This window comes from Homo sapiens, chromosome 2 (assembly GCF_000001405.40).
Source record: "Homo sapiens chromosome 2, GRCh38.p14 Primary Assembly".
In the NCBI taxonomy this organism is placed as follows: Eukaryota; Metazoa; Chordata; class Mammalia; order Primates; family Hominidae; genus Homo; species Homo sapiens.
In genome coordinates, this window is record NC_000002.12 from 46,427,603 (window position 1) to 46,448,223 (window position 20,621).

General features: G+C 40.7%; 1 long non-coding RNA gene across 1 annotated transcript, besides 3 other annotated features; it reads left to right on the forward strand.

The window, feature by feature from the left end:
• The first annotated feature begins 1,587 nt into the window (after positions 1-1,587).
• Positions 1,588-14,231, forward strand: LINC02583 (long intergenic non-protein coding RNA 2583). The gene is made up of 4 exons (NR_103805.1): positions 1,588-1,677; positions 12,525-12,624; positions 13,494-13,769; positions 13,957-14,231. It is a non-coding gene; the product is annotated as a long intergenic non-protein coding RNA 2583 (long non-coding RNA).
• Positions 7,428-7,722: an enhancer, noted in NCBI's record as "tiled regions #1085 and #2665 (exact overlaps); HepG2 Activating DNase matched - State 5:Enh". NCBI's record gives its function as "activates a minimal TATA promoter and a strong SV40 promoter by Sharpr-MPRA in HepG2 cells {active_cell/tissue: HepG2}" and the evidence as "EXISTENCE:reporter gene assay evidence [ECO:0000049][PMID:27701403]".
• Positions 7,428-7,722: a silencer, noted in NCBI's record as "tiled regions #1085 and #2665 (exact overlaps); K562 Repressive non-DNase unmatched - State 7:EnhWF". NCBI's record gives its function as "weakly represses a minimal TATA promoter and a strong SV40 promoter by Sharpr-MPRA in K562 cells {active_cell/tissue: K562}" and the evidence as "EXISTENCE:reporter gene assay evidence [ECO:0000049][PMID:27701403]".
• Positions 14,848-15,142: a silencer, noted in NCBI's record as "tiled region #2986; K562 Repressive non-DNase unmatched - State 23:Low". NCBI's record gives its function as "represses a minimal TATA promoter and a strong SV40 promoter by Sharpr-MPRA in K562 cells {active_cell/tissue: K562}" and the evidence as "EXISTENCE:reporter gene assay evidence [ECO:0000049][PMID:27701403]".

Sequence of the window (20,621 nt, forward strand, 5' to 3'; positions counted from 1 at the left end):
GCAAGCTCCACCTCCCGGGTTAATGCCATTCTCCTGCCTCAGCCTCCCCAGTAGCTGGGACTACAGGCGCCCACCACCACACCCAGCTAATTTTTTTTTTTTTTGGTATTTTTAGTAGAGACAGGGTTTCACCGTGTTAGCCAGGATGGTCTCGATCTCCTGACCTCGTGATCCACCCGCCTCGGCCTCCCAAAGTGCTGGGATTACAGGCATAAGCCACCGCACCTGGCTGAATATATATTTTTTTATATATAGTATGATATATATGTACTCCATCAATACTCTTGCCCTAGACTCCACATATTTTAGGGCAAGCCTTTATACTAGAGAAGATAAATACAGTCAAAAGACAGTTGTTTAAAAAGACTAATAAAATTGATAAATCTTGATGAGAGTGTTCAAATAAAAAAGAAAGCTCAAATATCCATATTATGAATAAAAACAGGGGCATCACTATAGACCCAACAGACATTGATATCTCATGATATGTCATAATTATATCTCATAAGAGATATTCCGAATAACTTAAAACAAATAAATTTTAAAATTTGGATGAAATAGACAAATTTCTTGAAAAATAAAATTCACCAAAACTGCCAAAAGAAATAGCAAATCTAAACAGTATTATAATTTTAAAAAATTTAATATATAAACCTTCCCACAAAGAAATTCTTGGCCCAGATGCTTATAAGTAAACTTTACCCAAGATTTCATGAAGATATTTTGTCAGTCTTCCATAAACTTAGGTTTAATTAAGGTATTTTGTCAGTCTTACATAAACTTTCCATAAAACCAAAAGAGACGGCAAGCTTCAAAACTGATTTTATAAGACTGGTATTATCTTGATATCAAAACCTGACTAGTATATTTTAAGGAAGTAAAATTACAGACCAATCTTACTCAAGAACATAAATGAGAATTTCCTATACAAAGGAACGAATGAATGTGTACATTAATGAATGCATGGGTTTATTTCCTGGTTTTTCATAGACCTACAACAGAAATCCACTCAGCCTGACAAAGTAAGGATTTTAATACCAGTCTTGGCACATACCCTCAAGAACCCCTGGATGCTAAAATGGCTCAAAGAGCTAACAAAGTCTGGACAAACCAACATGCCTGGTTTAATTAGTCTGTAGGAAGTCCAGATATCGGTATTTCTTAAAAGCCTTCCAGAGTTCCGACAGAGATCACGGTGAGACTCTGAGCTCCGCGGCTAGCTCCCCTGGGGCCCTCCAAACCCTGGGCCAACGGGTGAGTTGGGGGAGCCCCAGGACAGACTGGGGCCTCCGCCCTGCAGATATCCCAGAGCCCTTGCTATGGCTCCCACCGGCCACACCCAGGCCTTGAAGGAGCATCGACCATATTCCTCAACCCACCTCGGTGACCTGATGGTGGCGGCAGCCTCTCCCAGCCGACCCCGCCGACCGCTGGATCTCCAGAGGACACCCCTGCCAAGCCACCCGGATGCAGAGCCTTTGAGTGGCAGCTGCCGTGGCCGGCCGGAAGCATGGCGGCGGCAGGGAGGCCCCTAGGGTGTGGCAGGGCGGGTCTACGGAGGCCTCTTTAGGCCACAGAGCAACGTAAAGCCTAGGCCTGCAGAGACTGCTCAGTCACAGTTGAAGGAGACCTACTGAGTCCTGAGGACAACCAACAAAGGCCTTAACGGCACAGAAGGTGAGCAAAGTCCTGGAGGAGGGTGAGCAGAAGGATCAGTGGCCATCGCGGGTTGGTGTTAGTTCTACCAGACCTCTATGTCGCAAGAGAAATGGTAGGATGACAGGCCACAGTTGGCCCGCTGGACATGCCCACCACCCTTTGGGAAGGTTTACTGGCCGTTTATAGAAAACCTGTGTGTATATAACATGAAAAAGTTGCTCTCAACTTCCCTCCAACCTTTTAAAAGAAAACATTTTCCACATCTAGGCTTTCTAGATGAGAAGAGGTTGCCGACGTATGACAGAGTTAGAAAATCACACATCTTGTAAATTCTCATTTGTTTAAAAAGAAATCATAGGCCGGGCGCGGTGGCTCATGCCTGTAATCCCAGCACTTTGGGAGGGCGAGGCGGGCGGATCACGAGGTCAGATCGAAACCAGCCTGACCAACGTGGTGAAACCCCGTCTCTACTAAAAATACAAAAATTAGCCGGGAGTGGTAGCGGGCATCTGTAATCCCACCTACTCGGGAGGCTGAGGCAGGAGAATCGCTTGAACCCAGGAGACAGAGGTAGAGGGTGCAAGTGAGCGGAGATTGCACCATTGCACTCCAGCCTGGGTGACAGAGCAAGAATCCGTCTCAAAAAAAAAATTATAAAAAATAAATGTCTTCTGGAGGTGACTTTGAAGTGGTTAGACCACCTCTGGAAGCGAAGCTTCCACGTTTGTTCAGTGAGTTAAAGGACATAGAAAACCTGAGAAGGAAGTTCTAGGCCAGTCTGGTCATATCTGAAGAGATTTTCATGTTCTAATCTAACCTTTGTTTTGTGTACATTTTATTAATGCTCACCACTGTACATAGAGTTGACTAACGTAAAACAATCCCTTCATAAATGTCCTTTTGTTTGTTTATAGGAAGTCCTGTCTTCTGGGATTGAGTTTGGTAATCCACCCCTTGGAGCTAAACACAGTAGTATCCTTAGTCGTTGGGATGGTGGGAGAGGGAGAAGAGGAAGGATGAAGGAAAGGGCTCTTTGCTAGTATCTCCATATCTAGAAGATGGTTTAAACTCATACCCATAGCTCTATATGAGCATTTTCAGTAAAGTGCCTGTGTTTGTTGTGGACAAGTTTTATTATTTTGCAACATCTGAGCTTTATGAAAGTCCTGGAGTGACAATGTATGATAAAAAGTAGAGCTAGTGAATTAGGCAATTTATTAATATTTTTTGTTATAACTGATAGAAAAGATGCATCTTGAACATGGAATTGTTAAGCCACGTCTGAGCAGTGTATGTCAGGACTTGTTCATTAGGTTGGCAGCAGAAGGGCAGAATGAAGTATAAAGGGAGAGATGTATGCAAATGTGTCTATGTTTACATTTTGATACTAGTCATTGATATATGTGCAACTCTTTTGGCTGTACTATAGGAATACAGTAAGTAATTTGAAGGAAACATACCTTCTTGCTAATATTTTAATGGTATAGATATGAGAAATTATCTTAGAAACATTATACATAGTGTATTCTGCTGCTTTATGTTTCATTTTAAATTGAGCATTAAGAAAACGCAGTATTTTAATCAGAACTCTGCTAATGCTTTTATGTAGAGGCATGTTGTCATTTGGGTCTTCTATGAAATTTTTGTCCTAAGAAAGGGAGGATTACATTTTTTCTAACAGATGAAGTTGCTGTAATGTGTTGCTGAGTATCAGAATACTCACATAGCTTTAAGATTTTGAATTGGTAAATATTCATGATGTGTGAAAAGGCATGATACATAACATATGATCTCAAGTCCATCAAGTTGGATGTTGTATCTACACAAACAGGACTTAGAAGGACATGTGAAACTAAATTGCTTGTGATTGTGGATGGCTTTGTTCTTTGCTTCTAGTGGTTTTCAGTTTCCTGTAATGCACACATTAGCTTTTAAAAAGTGAAGGTTATTTTTTAAAACCTGTAAAAAAAAAAAATTCCAGGTGACGCTACATCATAAGGTTGAGAGCCACTGGGGTAAGTTGCTGACTCTGGTATGTAGTTAGTATTTATTCTAAGTGCAATGGGAAGGCATTATAGGGGTCAAGGAGAGGCATGACATGATCTAATTTACTGTTTAAGGCTGAGGCTTTGTGGAGAGTGGACTATGGAGGGTGACAGCAGAAGCAAGGTACTGGTTAGGAGCTGACTGGGGAGAGTAAAGGGAATCAGGATATATGTCAGGCATAGGGCTGTCCAGTCATGCTGACAACAGAGGTCCTGGGAGTGAAGGACAGAGAAGAATCCCTAGAATCTGGGAATCTTTAACAGTACCAGGCATGGAGCTCCTGTAATTTCATGTGTCAGACAGTAATCTCTGCTACCCCTTCCTCTGGCAACCCCCACAGCCTCCAGCAGGGCAGGCACCTGGTAGAGGCATATACAGATGGCTAGAATGAAACAAACTCTCTGGCGCAATAAACCTCCAGGCTCTGTGGAAGCCCACGTCTCCTGTGTGACTCTGATAAATACCTTCCCCTCTCCGGCCTTTGTAAAACAGAAATTATATTTTCCACTGCCTGCCTTACAGACAGAGGTATTTTGAATATCCAGGACAGCAGTGCATAATGACAGTTAATAACAGTTTTTTTTTAAGCACAACCACCTTGCAAGGTAGAGATCGTTCAAACACTCTTACAAACATCAGAGCTGAGAGATAAAGTAACTACCTGAGGCCAACGTGCTATCAGTGCTTATGTGGCTTTTTGATCCAGGCCAGTTTGACTTCAAATTCTAGATTCCTTTCACCACATGATGCTGAAATTACAACATATTAGATGATGCACTGGCAAGATGGCAGGGAAACTATTACATTCTTTCATTGTTCCTCACACTAAGATGGGTGGGATTCTTTTGAAAAGCAAATTAGTAATGAGTGTCAAAATCCACAAAAGTGTTTCTACCCCTTGACCATATTGAATTTATTCTCAAGAGAACAATTTTGAATTATAAAAAGGTGTATACCTAGAACTTTTAGTTCTGCATCATTTGTAACAGCAATAAATTCGAAGTAACTTAAATAGGGGACTTGTTAAAAAAAAAAAACTATGGTGTCAAATCAAAGGAGTACTATACAGTAATGGTTCTCCGTGAAGGATGATTTTGCCCCCCAAGAGACATTCAACAATGTCTGAAGACATTTTTGGTTGTCCCAACCTGGGGGGAGGGTGAGTTCTATTGGCACTTGATGAGGAGTGACCAAGGATACTGCAGTGTATAGGACAGCCTCCCAAAATGTCAATAATGCTGAGGTTGAAAAAACCCTATTATACAGAAATTAAATATGATGAATGGAGATTTTATGATTTAATAGAGAAAAAGTAGAGTTCCAAATTTGGGGCACACCATGATTACAACCATGGAAGACCTTATCTTGCATATGAAGAAACAGCAGATGAAAACACAGGAAACTGCAAAAAAATACATTGATGGAAGTAGAGATAAATCTTATTCTTTGAAAAGTTTTATTTAATGATGTTATTTTTTACACTAAGCAAAATTTGGTAAAAAAATTGAAATACAACTTGCTATAGATATCCGTTGTCATTGTTGTTATCCAGATCAAACACTGTACACAGCACATTTTTGTGCTCAATTGATTCTCTGGAAGGAAAGAAGGAATTTTGTTTGTTTTGCAAAAGTTATGTGAACATATCCAAATCAAAAGTGGTATTTTTAGAAAGCCATGCAACTGTCATATCCATTAAGTTGATCAAGACTCCTCCTGATGCAAGGAACACAAATCAAACTGGAACTAGCTGAGACAAGAAAAGACATATTGGTTCATGTGACTGGGGGAAAATGTCTGGCATCAAGTCATGTGGACCCGAGAGCGGAAACAGTGCTATCTGCTGCTTGGTATGCTCTATGCCTTTGCTGTCTTTCACTCTCAGACTACCCACTACATTCATTCTCCGAGTGTGGCCCTCATCCTCTATTGCATACTGCTTTCTCACTGGGAACAGAGGCGACACAAATGTTTTGATGGAGCACATGCTCCAGTAAATTCCTGGGAAAGGATACATGGGAGGTAAAATTCCGAGACCTTGCATTTCTAGAATTTGTCAGCCTCCCAAAGTGCTGGAATTAAAGGTGTGAGCCACTGCCCAGAAGTTTATGATATAACTCTCTTCATCTCATAGTTAATAAATAATCTGCTAAGACCTACTGAGGACGTTTTTTCTTAGGATCACAGTGGAAAACTGTAAGAACGGTACTGGGAGGGAGCACTGTCTTGAGAAGAGAAATGCTGGTGGGACCTGGGCATTTGCAGTCAGCAAGAAAAGCTGAAAGAAATACAAACATTCATTCAAAAGCTGCCTAAATTATCTAAGTTTCCATTTCCTCATTATAAAATAGGGCTCAAATGGGACTAGAATAGAGGTAAAATGTGTCATAAAATTTCTGTACCTGGAACTGAACATTCATTGCCTCATGTAATGCACCAAGCAGAGCCAGGCACCTAGAAGTCATCTGTAGTAAATGTTTCCATTGTCCCAACTCTTGGCTCCCTTTCTTGAGAGATGATTGCAAGACACTCATGGCCATGTGACTTGAGTACCTTCCTGTAATTAGGGTATGCTTCCCTGCCCATGTCAAGCTCAGCCACTAGACTCAATGGAGCCAATACGATGTGAATGGAAATGACAGAGAAAAGCATGAGGGACAATGCAAGTTTTTTCCAGTTCTCTTACACTTTCCCTTGGTCATCACTTGTCTTGAATCTGGGCTTCTCCTTCAGCTGGGTCCCAGATGAGAAGACATGGAGCAGGGCCCCAGCTAATCTAGCGTATTCGTGAAACAGAAACAAATCTATGTTTTGTGAGCCACTGAAGTATGAGGGTTACTTGTCAGCACGCAAAGCTGATTAATACTGAGTCCCACATACAGCTAATAAGGAAAAGCAGGAGGAATAGGAAGATGACAGTGTAGAACAACAGGAGGAGGGGGCAAGAAAGATGGAAAGGTGGAAGATGATGGAGAAGAGGAAGAGAAGGAGACTTTTAGTAACTCTTGTTGCTTAGAATCATGTTAATGTCTGTGAGAAATAAAAGACTAAGGTTAGGATATATATGCTCCCGTTTAGAAGATTAAAATCTAGTTGGAGAGGAACCACAGACAAATAAAATGTCCTAGTCACAGGGACAGCAGAATTTAAGGGCTAAGCATGCTCCAGACCAAAGGCTGCAGAAATTCTAGCTGTAGAGGGTAACTGTTGGAGGAGTAGAGAGAACTGAAAGGATTTGAACTGAGCGTTGAAGGACGTGTATACCACTTGAATGTTCAAAAAGAGGGGAGGTCACTATATGCTGAGCAAAGAGCACAGAGTGCGGGGGAGTGGGGGAAGCCAAGGGTAGAGGCCACAGCCAAAGAAGACCTTCTTGGCTTGAGGAAGCCATGACTTCTCCTGTAAGTCATCCCAAGAACCTCTACCTCTTCATCAGGAATGTGTCAAGACCGAGGGCCCACCTGTCTTTTTGGTGGATGAAATGAAGTTAATCAATTGGAGACCTGCACATGTGAGCCGAGCCAGAGATGCATGAGACTGCCATGCAAGGGGAGAGGGGTGCTCAGAGCAGCTGCTGGTTCCCCCAGAGGTACAGCTAACTGGGCTGTGGAGTCTTGACAGAGGGTGTGTTTGGCTTTCTGACCCCAATCACCCACAAAGTCTGACTGGATTTCTGGAGAGTTAGCGCAGACTTTCCATTTCTGGAACACCTCCGTAATTTCCTAAAAAAAACAAACTTCGTGGTTTGAGCATATTGCATGTGACCAGTAAGGGTTAGAAGAGGGTTTTGCAGAGCTGAGATGCAAACAGATGCTGATCTTTGTTCTCTCAGGCAAATACTCCCCTCTTTGCTCTCTCCTCTGGAATTTCCCACATACTGTGCTGACCTTCACCAAGGGATAGTAGGCTCTTAAAAATTCTGACTTGCCCTAACTTGTTCATGAAGGAATTCATGGCAGCTGCAGATCTCCATGCAGTTCAATTATAGTTTTGTTTCAATGAGAAAGTTGGGCCAAAGGAAAAATAAAGTGGGCAAAAGAGATAAACAAGGAGTAAGACACAATACTAAAGAGAGAGAGGACCACAAATTTTACAGTGTGCTTCCTGTGGCAAATCCACAGAGGGTAATATTGATTACAAGTTTTCTGGTTTCTAAAAGATAACAACAGATGCCAGGTGAAGCCCAAGTTGTCCTGGTACTGAAACCAGGGAGAATTTTCCCCCACCCCAATGTAGTAGGTTGGAATGACTTCCACCTTCCATAAAGACCCACAATGAATACAATAGCAGGTTTCAGTTCCTCAATGTAGACTAACAACACACATCAAAGTTCCATTAATCAAATGAATTATTTGAAAGACCTAGGCAATTCAGTCCAGTCTGCAACCATCTGATGGTACCTCTTGACCCAAGAATAGCATGTAGAATATGGAAAAAGAAATGAATGGTTTATCCTTCAAGCAATCTTCTATGAACATTATTTCTTTAAAAAAATGAGCTTCTGATAAGAATAGAGCTGCAGAGTTTGAAGTTACACTATCAGGCAAAAACTTGAGATTCACACAATGTATTGCTCTTGTCAAAGGAAGACTGGATATGCTTTGGCCATAAGCCAAGTGGAGGGTGGGGGCTAACGTCCTCTTTAGTCAGTTTAAGGAGTCTAATCAGGATTGGAGCCAGCATGAAAATTCACTGAACCTCCACCAAAAAAGTGGGCCAACAAGAGCAGCGATGATTCCCACAGGAACTAGTTCTGCATCTATTCAAACCTGTGGCAAATTTCCAAACATTGTATGTCATAGAGATAACCCTCTAGCATGTTAGCCTAGAAAATGTTCAAAGCAGCTATTACCAATTGCCCACTAAGACCACAAAACATTTAATAAAGCATCTAGGACATTCGAATCCTAATACCAGTTCACAGCTAAAAAATATTGCGTGGCCTAACCAAAATGAGCTACACATGATTAACTTCATAAAATGAGAGTGCTATTGTTAGAAGGAAGGGGGGAGACTGTGCCAATGTTTTTTAAAGGTTTGGATATCACTATGAATTGTTATCATTGAAAATAGTTACCCGTCCCCACAAAGTCTTCTAATGATGTGAAAAGAAAGTTCTAAGGAATTCTCATTTGTTTTTTCCCTTCTTGCCCCACTGTCTACAGCTCACTCAGCTCACCCATTAAACCCTGCGGGTCTGTTTCACTTTTTCCTTCCCACACAAACATTACAGTAACAGTCTGGCCTTCCCAAACCACCACTGGAAACTTCAACTGAACTGATCATATATCAGTCAACTCTAGGAGACCAGCTCTGATTCCAAGAAACTGTGACATTGCCTCCATTGGAAGTTACAACCTTCACCTGCCAACCTGGACTCATCCCATAGGCAAGTGAAGGAACGTTTCTCCTCATATTCATCTCTAGCAACAAATTTGGGACATAATTCAAATTAGCCTTAAGTTCCTTAAGTGGGAAGGATTAGTCTTATAAATTAGTTTATAAATTCCCCCATGACATGTAATAGAGTACTGCATACACTATAGGAGCTTAACAATAATTGCTACCATTTGTCAAACACTTTCTTAATTCCAGGAGCTGTACTTGAAGCTCTACATAATTATTTCATGCATACATTTTGTCATTCATTCTAACTCTCCTAGAAAGGTATTATCCCCATTTTTAAGATGGAGAAATGGAGGCTTTGGCAAATGCATAGACTCATCTAAGACAATACAGCTAGTAAGTAGCAGAGTAAACTTTGATCCCAAGACTGACCAGTGCCAAAGCCTAAATTCTTCCTACTCTATAGGCTGTCTCCCTATAAACATTTCATTCCTCCAGTGACCACTGTATCAATGATGGAAATCCTAGGTGGGCCAAGTTTGGCTCAATATATCACATAAACTACCTAACAAAGTCCAGCAACAGTATGGATCTTGAAGTAGTGAGTATCATCACAGAAACGTCTTTCTGTCTGAGATATTGTAGAGAGGACCACTACCCTGATTGAAAAACTGGACTAGATGATCTCAATATCTAAAATGAAAAAGCAAAGACTGGAGTCATATTCTGATCAACAAGGCCAAAGTTAAATTCCAGGTTCCTTTCATTTCAGAAAATGCACATTAAGTGCCTCATATATGAGATACTGTATTTCGGAAGACAGAGACAAAAGAAGAGACACAGTTACCAGTATGGGAGAATTATTATTATTTAAGCTAGATATTGAAGAGAAATAAGATTTTAGAAAATTGGGGTAGAAAAAAATTGAAAGTTATACCTAGTAGCAGATGAAGGGAATAGGGGTATTCAAACACAGGAAAGTGAGAAACTATAGAAAAAGTTTAGAGAAATAAAGGTACTTCACAGAATGTAGTGGAAGGGAAGCACTGAAAGGTACATTGAAACCAGGCTATGGAGGGCTTTGAATGACTAAAAAATCTGGATTTTATTTGATTGCATTTGGAAACCATTGATACTTTAGAACAAGAGAGTGATTTGTTCATGGCTGTGGCTTAAGTAGATCAATCTGAATCCTCAATAAAATATTAACAAATAGAATCCAACAATGTATAAAAAGAATTATACACCATAACCAAGTAGAATTTATCCCAGGTATGCAAGACTGGTTCAACATTTGAAAAACCAATGTAATCCAAGGCATCAATAAGCGAAAGAAAAAAAGTCATATGATGATATCAATTGATAAAAAAAAAGCAGTTGACAAAATCCAACACCCATTTATGATAAAACTCTCAGCAAATTAGAAATAGAGGGAAACATCAACTTCATTAAGAACATCTGCAAAGAACCTGCAGCTAATATCATATTTAATAGTGAGAAACTGGATGTTTTCTCCTAAGATCAGGAATAAGGCAAGGATGTTCAATCTCATCACTGTTTTTCAACATCATACTGGAAGTCCTAGCTACTGCAATAAGATAAGGAAATAAAGGGTATACAAACAGGAAGGGAAGACATGAAACCACTTTATTCACAGATGGAATGTAAATAGATCAATATGGCACCAAGTATAGGACAGAGTGTGTGGAACTAATTATTCCTTAAGCTCATGCTCGAGTAGAGACCTGCCAGAGCCCACATTAAAAAAAATGAAAAACAAACCAACAAGTAAACAAAGCCAAACTCCCAACTTAAATAGCAACCTTGAGCTGAGTTGATGTGGATGCTGAGGCACCTGGGTAGAATGTACAGAATTGTGCTAGATGTCAGCTATCTATCTGTTGTGCTTAGGCCAATTTGATTGCACTCTCCCCACTCCTCAGCCACCCCAAACATTGATTTCTCTTCTGGGTATACGAGGGACATGACACGATAGCTGAAGTTGTGTACTAGTAAGCTGCTTTGTAATGGCAATGTATTGATTTTATCTTCTTCCTTATCTTCTGGAAGGCTCAGCCCAAGCAACTAAGATAACACTAGAAACAAAAATGGCCATAATACAATCTGACATTTCCATATTTCCTTGATGGTTTCCAAGTGAATATGCCCTTCTATAGCCTTCAAACTAAAGCAGAAAGTTTCAGAGCAATTCAATCGATGAGAATGTAGTTGAGTGACAATAATATGTAAAACCCAATAGAGAGTAAAAGGAAGTTTAGACAAGTGTAGTGTGGTGAAAGAGAAAAAGCAGAAGATTTATAGTCAGTTGAACCAACCTGAGTTTTGAGTCTTGCATCATTACCTTCAGTTGTGTGACAAGCAAGTTTCTTTATCTCTGAGCTCTCAGCTTTCTTACTTTTGCAACGAGAATGATAATACTAACCTGAATGCTGTGAGGATGAAATGAGAAAATGCACATGAACTTGGTTGGCTGCAAATGGCTAAAGAGATGTTCAGTTTGTTTATCCAATTGGTTAAGGCCAGTTGGCAAAGTCTACACATGAGAGCATTAAATATCCAAAGTAGATGAAGAGTACAGGAAGTATAAAGAGCAGAGGAAGAAGTCTGCGGGCTGGAATGAACAACAAAGGCATCCCAAAAGATGTGAGACTCCAGCCAAATCTTAAAGGATTCAGAGTAGAATTCAGAAAGAGGAGGCAGGGAAGAAAGAGAGTCACTGTCATAAAGGAGGCACTCAAAAATAGTTATGGAATGAGTGGGTGAATGAAAACATACAGAAACAAAAGAACAAATTAGAATATCTAAGAAATAGTCTACAAGCAGTATGTAGACCAGAGTCTAAAATTAAAGATAGTCCTTGATGCTGCAGAAATTTTGTTTAAATGCGTTTTCTATGAGTGCCCATATGAACACTAAGGTATTTTCTAAGGATGGGCATTTCTGTTCCAGTAATCTTAGATCACAGGTCTGTAGAAATCACACTGTGGCTGGTCTGACCCCCGTACTGTACTGTGCTATCTCTCTGACCTATCTGTGACCTGCACATTTTGGTGAATACATTTCCTGTAGCCCCAGTGGGACAAGATAGCTCTTGCACCTGCTGACATATTTAGACACGTATTATCTTAACAGCCAGTGTTCTTTCTTGATAACCACCATATCACCTAGATTGTTAAAGTCAGCTTCCTTCACAAACCACAGTGTAAAAGATTCTCATGGGGAAAAAAAAAAGGTGCCAAGGTATCTTATGACTTTGGTGCTTGTATTTTCAAAAGAAAGCTTTCAGGTAAGAATAGTAAAAGGGACTTAGGAGTAGGGGTCTCAGGGGAAATGCAGAGGGAGAGACTGAGAGCAGGCAGAAGAGGGGAGCAGCAGAAATTGATGGAAACAACCATACAGATTTGGACTCTGACTTAGGACCTGTCATTAAATCTTTCTGTGATCTTGGGCAGGTTGTGACATCAGAAAGTTGATAGACGTGATCGCTAAGAATCTTGCCGAATATTCTAGGACTACAAGTAAAAGAGACCCTATTTTCTGTGCTGGGAAAAGGCAAGTCAAGCCCAACTCTTCTTTTCTGGAGCTCTATTATCCTCCTTCCACCCCACCCCAATAACCCAGAGAAGTAACTGGCCCCATCATTCAGAAGGCAATGGATAAAGTTGGGTTGAATCAGTAGGTCTATTTTTTTTTCCAGTTATTTTCACTCTCCCAAGCTTAAGTGGAATTTCTCATCAAGTTCTAACCCCAGAAACATCATTATGAGTAGCACACTTTAAGCCAGACATTGACAAACCAGACTTTGTCCAGAGAAGACTAGCCAGAATGGCAAGGGTTTGAGAATTTTGTCTAATGAAAAATAAGTTAGAAAATAAGATGTTCAGGCTGGACAGGAACAGGCTTGGGAGAAGCCCAGCCTCAGCCATAAGCAGCTGAAGGATGGATAGAGAAAAATCAGTATGTTTGGTGTTACTCCACAGGCAGAAGGAGAGCCACCAGAGGAAGCTCCAGAACGGCAGATAACATTGCCACTAGAAAAACTTGCCCGCAATTAGAGCAACCAATGTAGCTCCTGGGGGCAGTGACCTCCCTGTCTCAGGAAAGGTTCTAGCTCAACAGGCTCTATGCCCATCTGCCAAGAGACCTCAGAAAGTATACAGTCAGCAGGATAAGGGGTCGAAGTATCCTTTCCAAGGCTAAGATTCTAGGATTCCACCTCAGAGTGGACTGTGAAGCTTGGCAAATGTTGGTCACTTTACTTTCTAGCTGTTTTGTTTGTTGCAACTTGCCTAAGTTGTTGTAAACCGAATCCCGTGATGTATGACTGTATGTTACTGCTTTTCCATGGGTCTTCAAGGGAGCAGGGACACCAAAACCTTTGGTTTAAAGTCCCCCTGGTTTCTGTCTTCTCTCCCAAGCAGAAGTCCCACCAGTGTGATCAGGAATAAAACACTTCAGGTGCAACGTGATCATTATTCAAAGGTTCTGTGAAGCCAATTACCCCCTTTGCAAAGTGAAAAGTGCAACTTTGGATTTTTCTGATCAGAGTAATATAGAGAGGAGCCCACCCTTTTCTTACTATACAGAGAAGAGTAAAACACAGTCACCTTTACACAGCATCTGAGTGGACCTAACACAGGGCAGTGAAAGTGATGCAGAACAAACTTCAAAGCCTCCAGGAGCACACGTGACCTCAGGTGAGACATCCAGGAGGTGGGGAACAACTGACAGTGGCCCCTGTTTTGATGGTTTCAAGTTTCTCTGCCCACTTTCTGAGTCCCTTAAATCCTGGCTTTCCTTCCTTAAATTGTTCCCTAATTTGCACCCAAAACATTTCTCTTCAAGAAATCATTAAATTTAACATGAAAATACTGTTTCTAATAGGAAATGAACAGAAACAACCTAGCTCTCCAAAGAGGAGTATTTCATTCAACTCCGAACTGCTCACACATTATGCAACTGTGAACAAGGCTCATTTAAAAATCCATGAAGCTTCTAATGTTTTCACCACAAAATATATTAAGTATTGAGGTGCTGGATATGTTGACTAGTTTGATTTAATTATTCCACATTATATGCATAAATAGTAACATCACCTTGTTCCCCATAAAATTATACAATTATAAATTGTCAATTTGCAATTAAAACAATAAAATCCAGCCAGACGTTGTGGCTCACATTTCTAATCCTAGCATTTTGGGAGGCCGAGGTGGGAGGATTGCTTGAGCCCAGACATTTGAGACCAGCCTGGCAACACAGCGAGACTCCATCTCTACAAAAAAAAAAAAAAAATTAGCCAGGCCTGGTGGCATGCACCTGTAGTCCTAGCTACTCGAGAGGCTGAGGTAGGAGAAGCACATGAGCTTAGGAGGTCAAGGCTACAGTGAGCTGAGATTGCGCCACTACACTCCAGCCTGGGTGACAGAGCAAGACTCTGTCTCAAATAAATAAGTAGATAATCAATCAATCCATGAAGCCACTATATAAAAATGCCAAGGTGAAAATGGAAAGGCAACTATGCATATTGTAGGGTCATGACCCCATGAGATATGCGTGCATGTGTACAAATACATAAAAGGAAAAAATTTTAAAGACCAATAGTTAAAACCATATTAGGGGAAACTTATTTGAAGGTCACCCTCTTCCCTTTCTCCCCATAGACATCTATTCTAAATTTCCATTAAATTCTTAAAATTGTTTGCATAGCAAGTAATCATTTAAACAAATATTTGATTATTTCAGCATTATTTTTTTTTTTTTTTTTTGCCAGCATTACCTTTTAGAGGCTGGTTTCCTTCCCCCAGAACACGCTCATGTGTAAACTGGGGATGGTTTGGCTCATCTGATTTTTATTTGAAGTTGCCATAGCCTGTTCACTCTGAAGGTTATATGCATGGGAGAAACTTCATAACAAAATGGCAGTCAGCCTACTGCTTCATTTTCTTAGCCAAGAAAGGATCTAAACCCTTCACACAACAGGAAGGGGCATGCCAGCCCAGGTACTTAAACCAATATTAGCATTCACCAAAAAGTACTGGGGCACCGTAGCCCCCTTTCATAGTGCTGTGAGCTTAGGCTTCCTTTGGGATATAGCTAGTGCTCTGTTTCTTACTCAGACCTTCACATCCGGCAGACCCTGTACCCCAGTTCTGCCCCTGGAATGGGATTCCCAATTGCCTTGTGCCCAGCTGAGTTCCAGCTAGAGAGTCAAGTTCCCTAGACCCCATCCCTGTCTTCTGGTGTCCACGATTCTGACAAGCAGGCACATGGCCATAGGCGGCCTTCAACACAGCACCCCCTCCCCCAGTGTTCCTAAGTTATTGTCACCCTAATTTACCCCACAATCTGACCGTTGGAGGGATCCCTAACACCTTTAAGGAAACCTAAAGAACTTTTACCAGTGACCTCAATATTGTAGATCAAGGCCAGGGCATACCTCCCTTTCTCCCGTCTCCCTGGAGAAAACAGTGCCTAGAAATACACGTGCAGGGGCCCCAGGCTGTGCACATCCCCCACAGGGCCCGATACCACCTGTTTGGTGTTCCCAAAAGCTTTTTCCAGATGGAGCCACGCAGGCGTTTCTAGTCCCTTAAATCCTAAACCTTAAACACTAACTTTAATTCAACTGGGTTTATACATCATATCAATTTTACTGGAGTTGTTGAACATTTCATTACATGGAAAAAACCACCCTGTGTTGGCCTAATAGACTATCCAGACTAATACTGGCCCTCTGATACCTGTCCCAGCTCTACTCAGCTTAAGATTGGTCCTTCCCCAAACTCCCGCCAACACTGGTTCTGCCTCTGCACATGTCTGCTTCCTGTGGGTCACACTCTGAGCGACAGCCCTAAGTCTCTGATTTGTCTCTAATTAGCCCTGCTGTCTCCCCTTTACTAAACTGAAAGCTCCTTCTAGGGGGGCCTGGGTCAAGGACCAGAGAAACTGGCACTGGATAGGGGCACATAGCAGGTGCTCACTAGGGACTTGCGGAATGAAACTGGAACAGAGACATTACCAAACACCCTGAAAGCCCTGAATAGTCTAATAGGAATGTCATCCCTGACCTCATATGTAACACCCAATTCAAGTAATTTGTCATATAGTGTCTCCCAGTTATTAGCTTCTGCAATGTGGCTGGTAGGCATAGTCCCCTTTGCCAGATCATCTATGCATATCTGAAGTATAGTACAAGTCCCCTAACCACAGAGGAATGTTGAAAGTTGAAAATATTATGTAGCACATGTTGGCTCTGCCTCTGCCCTCCCTGCCTTCTGGGTACCTACAGCTCCTGGGCACCTACTGCCAGTTGAGCCCACATAATCCTGGAGGCACACACTTCCTGAAGGCCACTCTCATGTCTCCCCAGCTCACCCCAGTGTCTCCAGGTCTCCTGCTGCTTTAACAGCCAATGTCCCCTTGAGTCTCCTTTTGGGCCTCTTCCTCCAACCATGGCCATGTTTTCCTGTTTACATAATTATGAGCAAAAGAGGTAAGAACTCATCCCAGCCTCCCTCCACATTCCAACCAATGACCATGTAAAACTGAGGAGACCCTTAAGTTGATTTTCCCCTAATTAAAATGGGACAGACTAAGATGTCCTAAATTCAAGTTGTTCAGGATTCTGGGGGAAACTGCCCCATGCGCATTACACTAGAGGCTCATCCCTGAGCTCTGAACCCCTTCCTGGGTGCCGAAGTGGGAATGGAGACCCAGGGAAGTGTGGGGCCTCCAAGTCACTGAGGTGACTCTGGCTCCACCCTTGTCATGTGCCTTGAAGGGCCCCCCACAACGTGGGCACTCACAGCAGCGCACACTCATCTTTGCAAATATCTGGGAAGCATGTATTTTTAAACAAAGGAAATCCAGAGAGTAAGGCTTGAATATCTCCAGATGGACACTCATTCCTTGGAAACCTCCTCTCTGCAGCTCAGCTTGAAAAGTCAGACTTTTCCCCTCAACAACTTAGCATTCATGAAAAGAAATTTTGTTCAGAAACTTGAAAGCTATTTCAATTGCAGAAAAATATGTCCAAAGTTTTCTGCATGTGAATACACATACATGAAGGTACACACTCATTTTAAAAACTGGGGGAAAAGGCAGCCCAAAGAAAATCTGCATATTGTTAAAAATGTAAATCAAGGCCATCATGATGGCTCATGACTGTAATTCCAGCACTTTGGAAGGCCAAGGTGGAAGGATTGCTCGAGGCCAGAAGTTCAAGGTCAGCCTGGGCAACACAGCAAGACTCTATCCCTACAAAAAAAGACAAAACTTCACCAGGCATGGTGGCATGTGCCAGTAGTCCCAGTTATGTGGGAGGATCGCTTGTGCCCAGGAGTTCCTGGCTACAGTGAGTTATGATTGTGCCATTGCACTCAAGCCTGGGTGACAGAGCAAGACCTTATCTATTAAAGAAAAAATGTAATTCCAATTTCTTCAGGCACATGTAAATTCAGTCTACTTAATATTCAGTAGTATGTATCTTTCAACAAGTTTGTCCATTATTCTAAATTGCCAAATTTACTGACGTAAATTTGTTCATAATATCCCTTATTATCCCCTTAATAGTGATATCACCTCTCTCATACCTGATTCTGGTTATGTTTTAAGTTTGGCAAGAGGTTTATCATCTTTCTTGACCTTCTCTCATAACCAGCTTTTGATTTTTTCTATTTATTGGTTCTATGTATTTTTTTTCCACAGATTTTCACTCTTATCTTTATAATTTCCATTCTTCTCACATTTTTGGATTTTATTTGCTCTTTTTATTCTGCTTTTTTAAGGTGAAAGCTGAAGTCATGACTGGAGATCTTTTCTAATATTGGTATCTTTCATGCTATAAATTTCCCCCTAAGTACAGCTTTAGCTGCAAAGCACTGTGAAATCCTATATTATCATTTTCTGTTTTAAGTACTTTCTAATATGTTTTTTCTTTGACCTATGTATTATTTAAAAGTGTATTACACAGTTTCCAAATATTTGAAGATTTTCCAGATCTCTTTATGGATTTTTAACTTAATTCCATTGTGGTCAGAGAACATACTTTGTAGGACTTGAATCCACCTAAATATATTGAGACTTGTTTTATGGCCTGGAATGTGTTCTGTCTTCATAAATTTTCTACATGAACTTGACAAAAATGTGCATTCAGCTGTTGTTGGGTGGAATGACCTAAAAAGTATCAGTTTGGTCAAGTTGGTTTATACTGTTGTCCAAGTCTTCTATATTCTTACTGGTTTTCTATTTGTTTGGATTTTTCTATTCCTCCTTGAAGTGCTATCAATTTTTGTCTCATATATTTTGAAGTGCTGTTATTAGACACATAGATGTTTAGGAATGTTGTCTTCTTGAAGAATTCACCCCACTACTATGAAATGACTCTATCTCCAGTAATATTCATTATTCTGAAATCTGTGTTTGACAATATTGGTACTAACGTTGGTATAATTTTTCATCCCTTTAAATCCATTCATATCTTTATATTTAAAATATTTATATCAGTCTTTAAATATGCAGATTAAATCTTCGTGGTTAAAATGGGTTTCTTGTGGGCAGTATGCAGTTAGTTGGGTTTTGCATTTTTATCCAATGTGACAATATCTGTCTTTTTATTTGGGAGCTTACACCATTTCCACTTACTGTGATTATTGATATGATCGAGTTTAAAGCTATGATTGTGATATTTGTTTTCTATTCATCCTATCTGTTTTCTTTTTCTGTCTTCTTTTGGATTGAGTATTTATGTTATCTCCTTTTATGGCTTATTAGCTAGACTCCATAGTGGTTAGAGTTTATAGTATGTATGAAATAAAAAGAAATATGTACATATTAGTGTCTGACCCTGGTTTCTGATGTGGGAACTCCTAAAACCCTTGTAATGTCCTAAGCAATAGCAGTGCTAGGAGCATCTTTTGTTCTAATATTTGCTCTTTGACCCAGGTTCCTGACACAGAAATCCTAAATCCCTTGGAATTTCCTGGGCAATAGGGGTATCTTTTGTTCTAATGAGGTGACCCTTGGTGGGCTCCTGGATGGGGGTTGGTCACCAGAAAGCCCACACCAAGATTAGAAACCTGGAACTTTCAGCCCCATCCCCCATCCTCAGGGAGGGGAGAAGAGTTGAAGATTGAGTGAATAATTAATCATGCCTATGTGATGAAGCCTCCATATAAAGTACAGGTTTTGGAGAGTTCTGGAATAGTGAACATATCCACTTGCTGGAAGAGTGGCACACCCCACCCCAACAGAGACGGAAACTCCTTCACTTGGGACCCTTCCAGATCTTGCCTTATGTATCTCTTCATCTGGCTGTTCTTCTGTATCTGTTGCAATGCCCTTTGTATACATTTGTAAATGTGTTTTCCTGAGTTCTGTGAGTCATCCCAGCAAATGATAAAACCTGAGGAGGGGATCATGGGAATATCCCTTCTGTCTGTAGCCAAGCCAGACAGAAGTTGTGAGTAACTTGGGACCCACTACTTGTGATGGGCATCTGAAGTCAGAGGCAGCATTGTGGGATTGAGCCCTTAACCTGTGGAATCTGTGCTAACTCTAGGTAGATACTGTCATAATTTAATTGAATTATAAGACAGCCAGTTGGTGTCCAAGGGGAATTGGAGAAATGCCTGGTGTGGCACGTGATTAAAATGGGTTTCTTGTGGGCAGAAACCCATACACATGCACATCTGGTGTCAGAAGTGTTATGACTATACAGAAGGAAACATGTTTTTACTATGCAGTATGCTTCTTCACTTTCAAGGGTTATTATACTACTTCACATACAGTAAAAGAACCCTACAACAGCATATTTATATTTCTTCTCTCCTGTCCTTTGTGCTATTGACATACATTTCACTTCTGCGGATGTTATAAAACACACTATACTTTATTTTTGCTTTAAAAGTCTACTGCCTTTTAAAGAAATCTAAATAAGAAAGAAAAAGTCTATACATTTACCCACGTAGTTACTATTTCTGCCACTCTTTATTCCTTTCTGTAGATCCAGGATTACTCTGGTATCATTTACTTCCTGCTTGAAGAATTTCCTTTAACATTTCTTACAGTGCAGGTATGTTGTGATGATTTTTTTCATCTTTTTGAGGTCTGATAATATCTTTATTTTGCAAGTGTTTTTGAAGAATATTGTTACTGGGTAAAGAGTTCTAGGTCAGCATTTTTTTTCATTACTTTAAAGATATTGCTCCACTGTCTTCTCATTTACGTTGTTTTCAATGAGCATTCTGTTATTATCTTGACCTTTTTTTCCCTGGTTGCCCAGTTGATTTTCTCTTTATCAGGAGTGTTAAGTAATGTTATGATAATGCACCTTGGTTAGTTTTGTGTTTGTTGTACTTGGGTTCATTGGGTTTCGGTGGATTTATAGTTTTTATCAAATTTGGAAACTTTTTAGTTATAATGTCTTTTATTTTTTATGTTCCTCCCTCTCTCCTCTCCTTTGGGATACCAAAAGCATGTATAATTGATCACTTGAAGTTGTCTCAAGTTCACTGGTGCTCTGTTCATTTTTTCTGTTTCTTTCTTTTTTA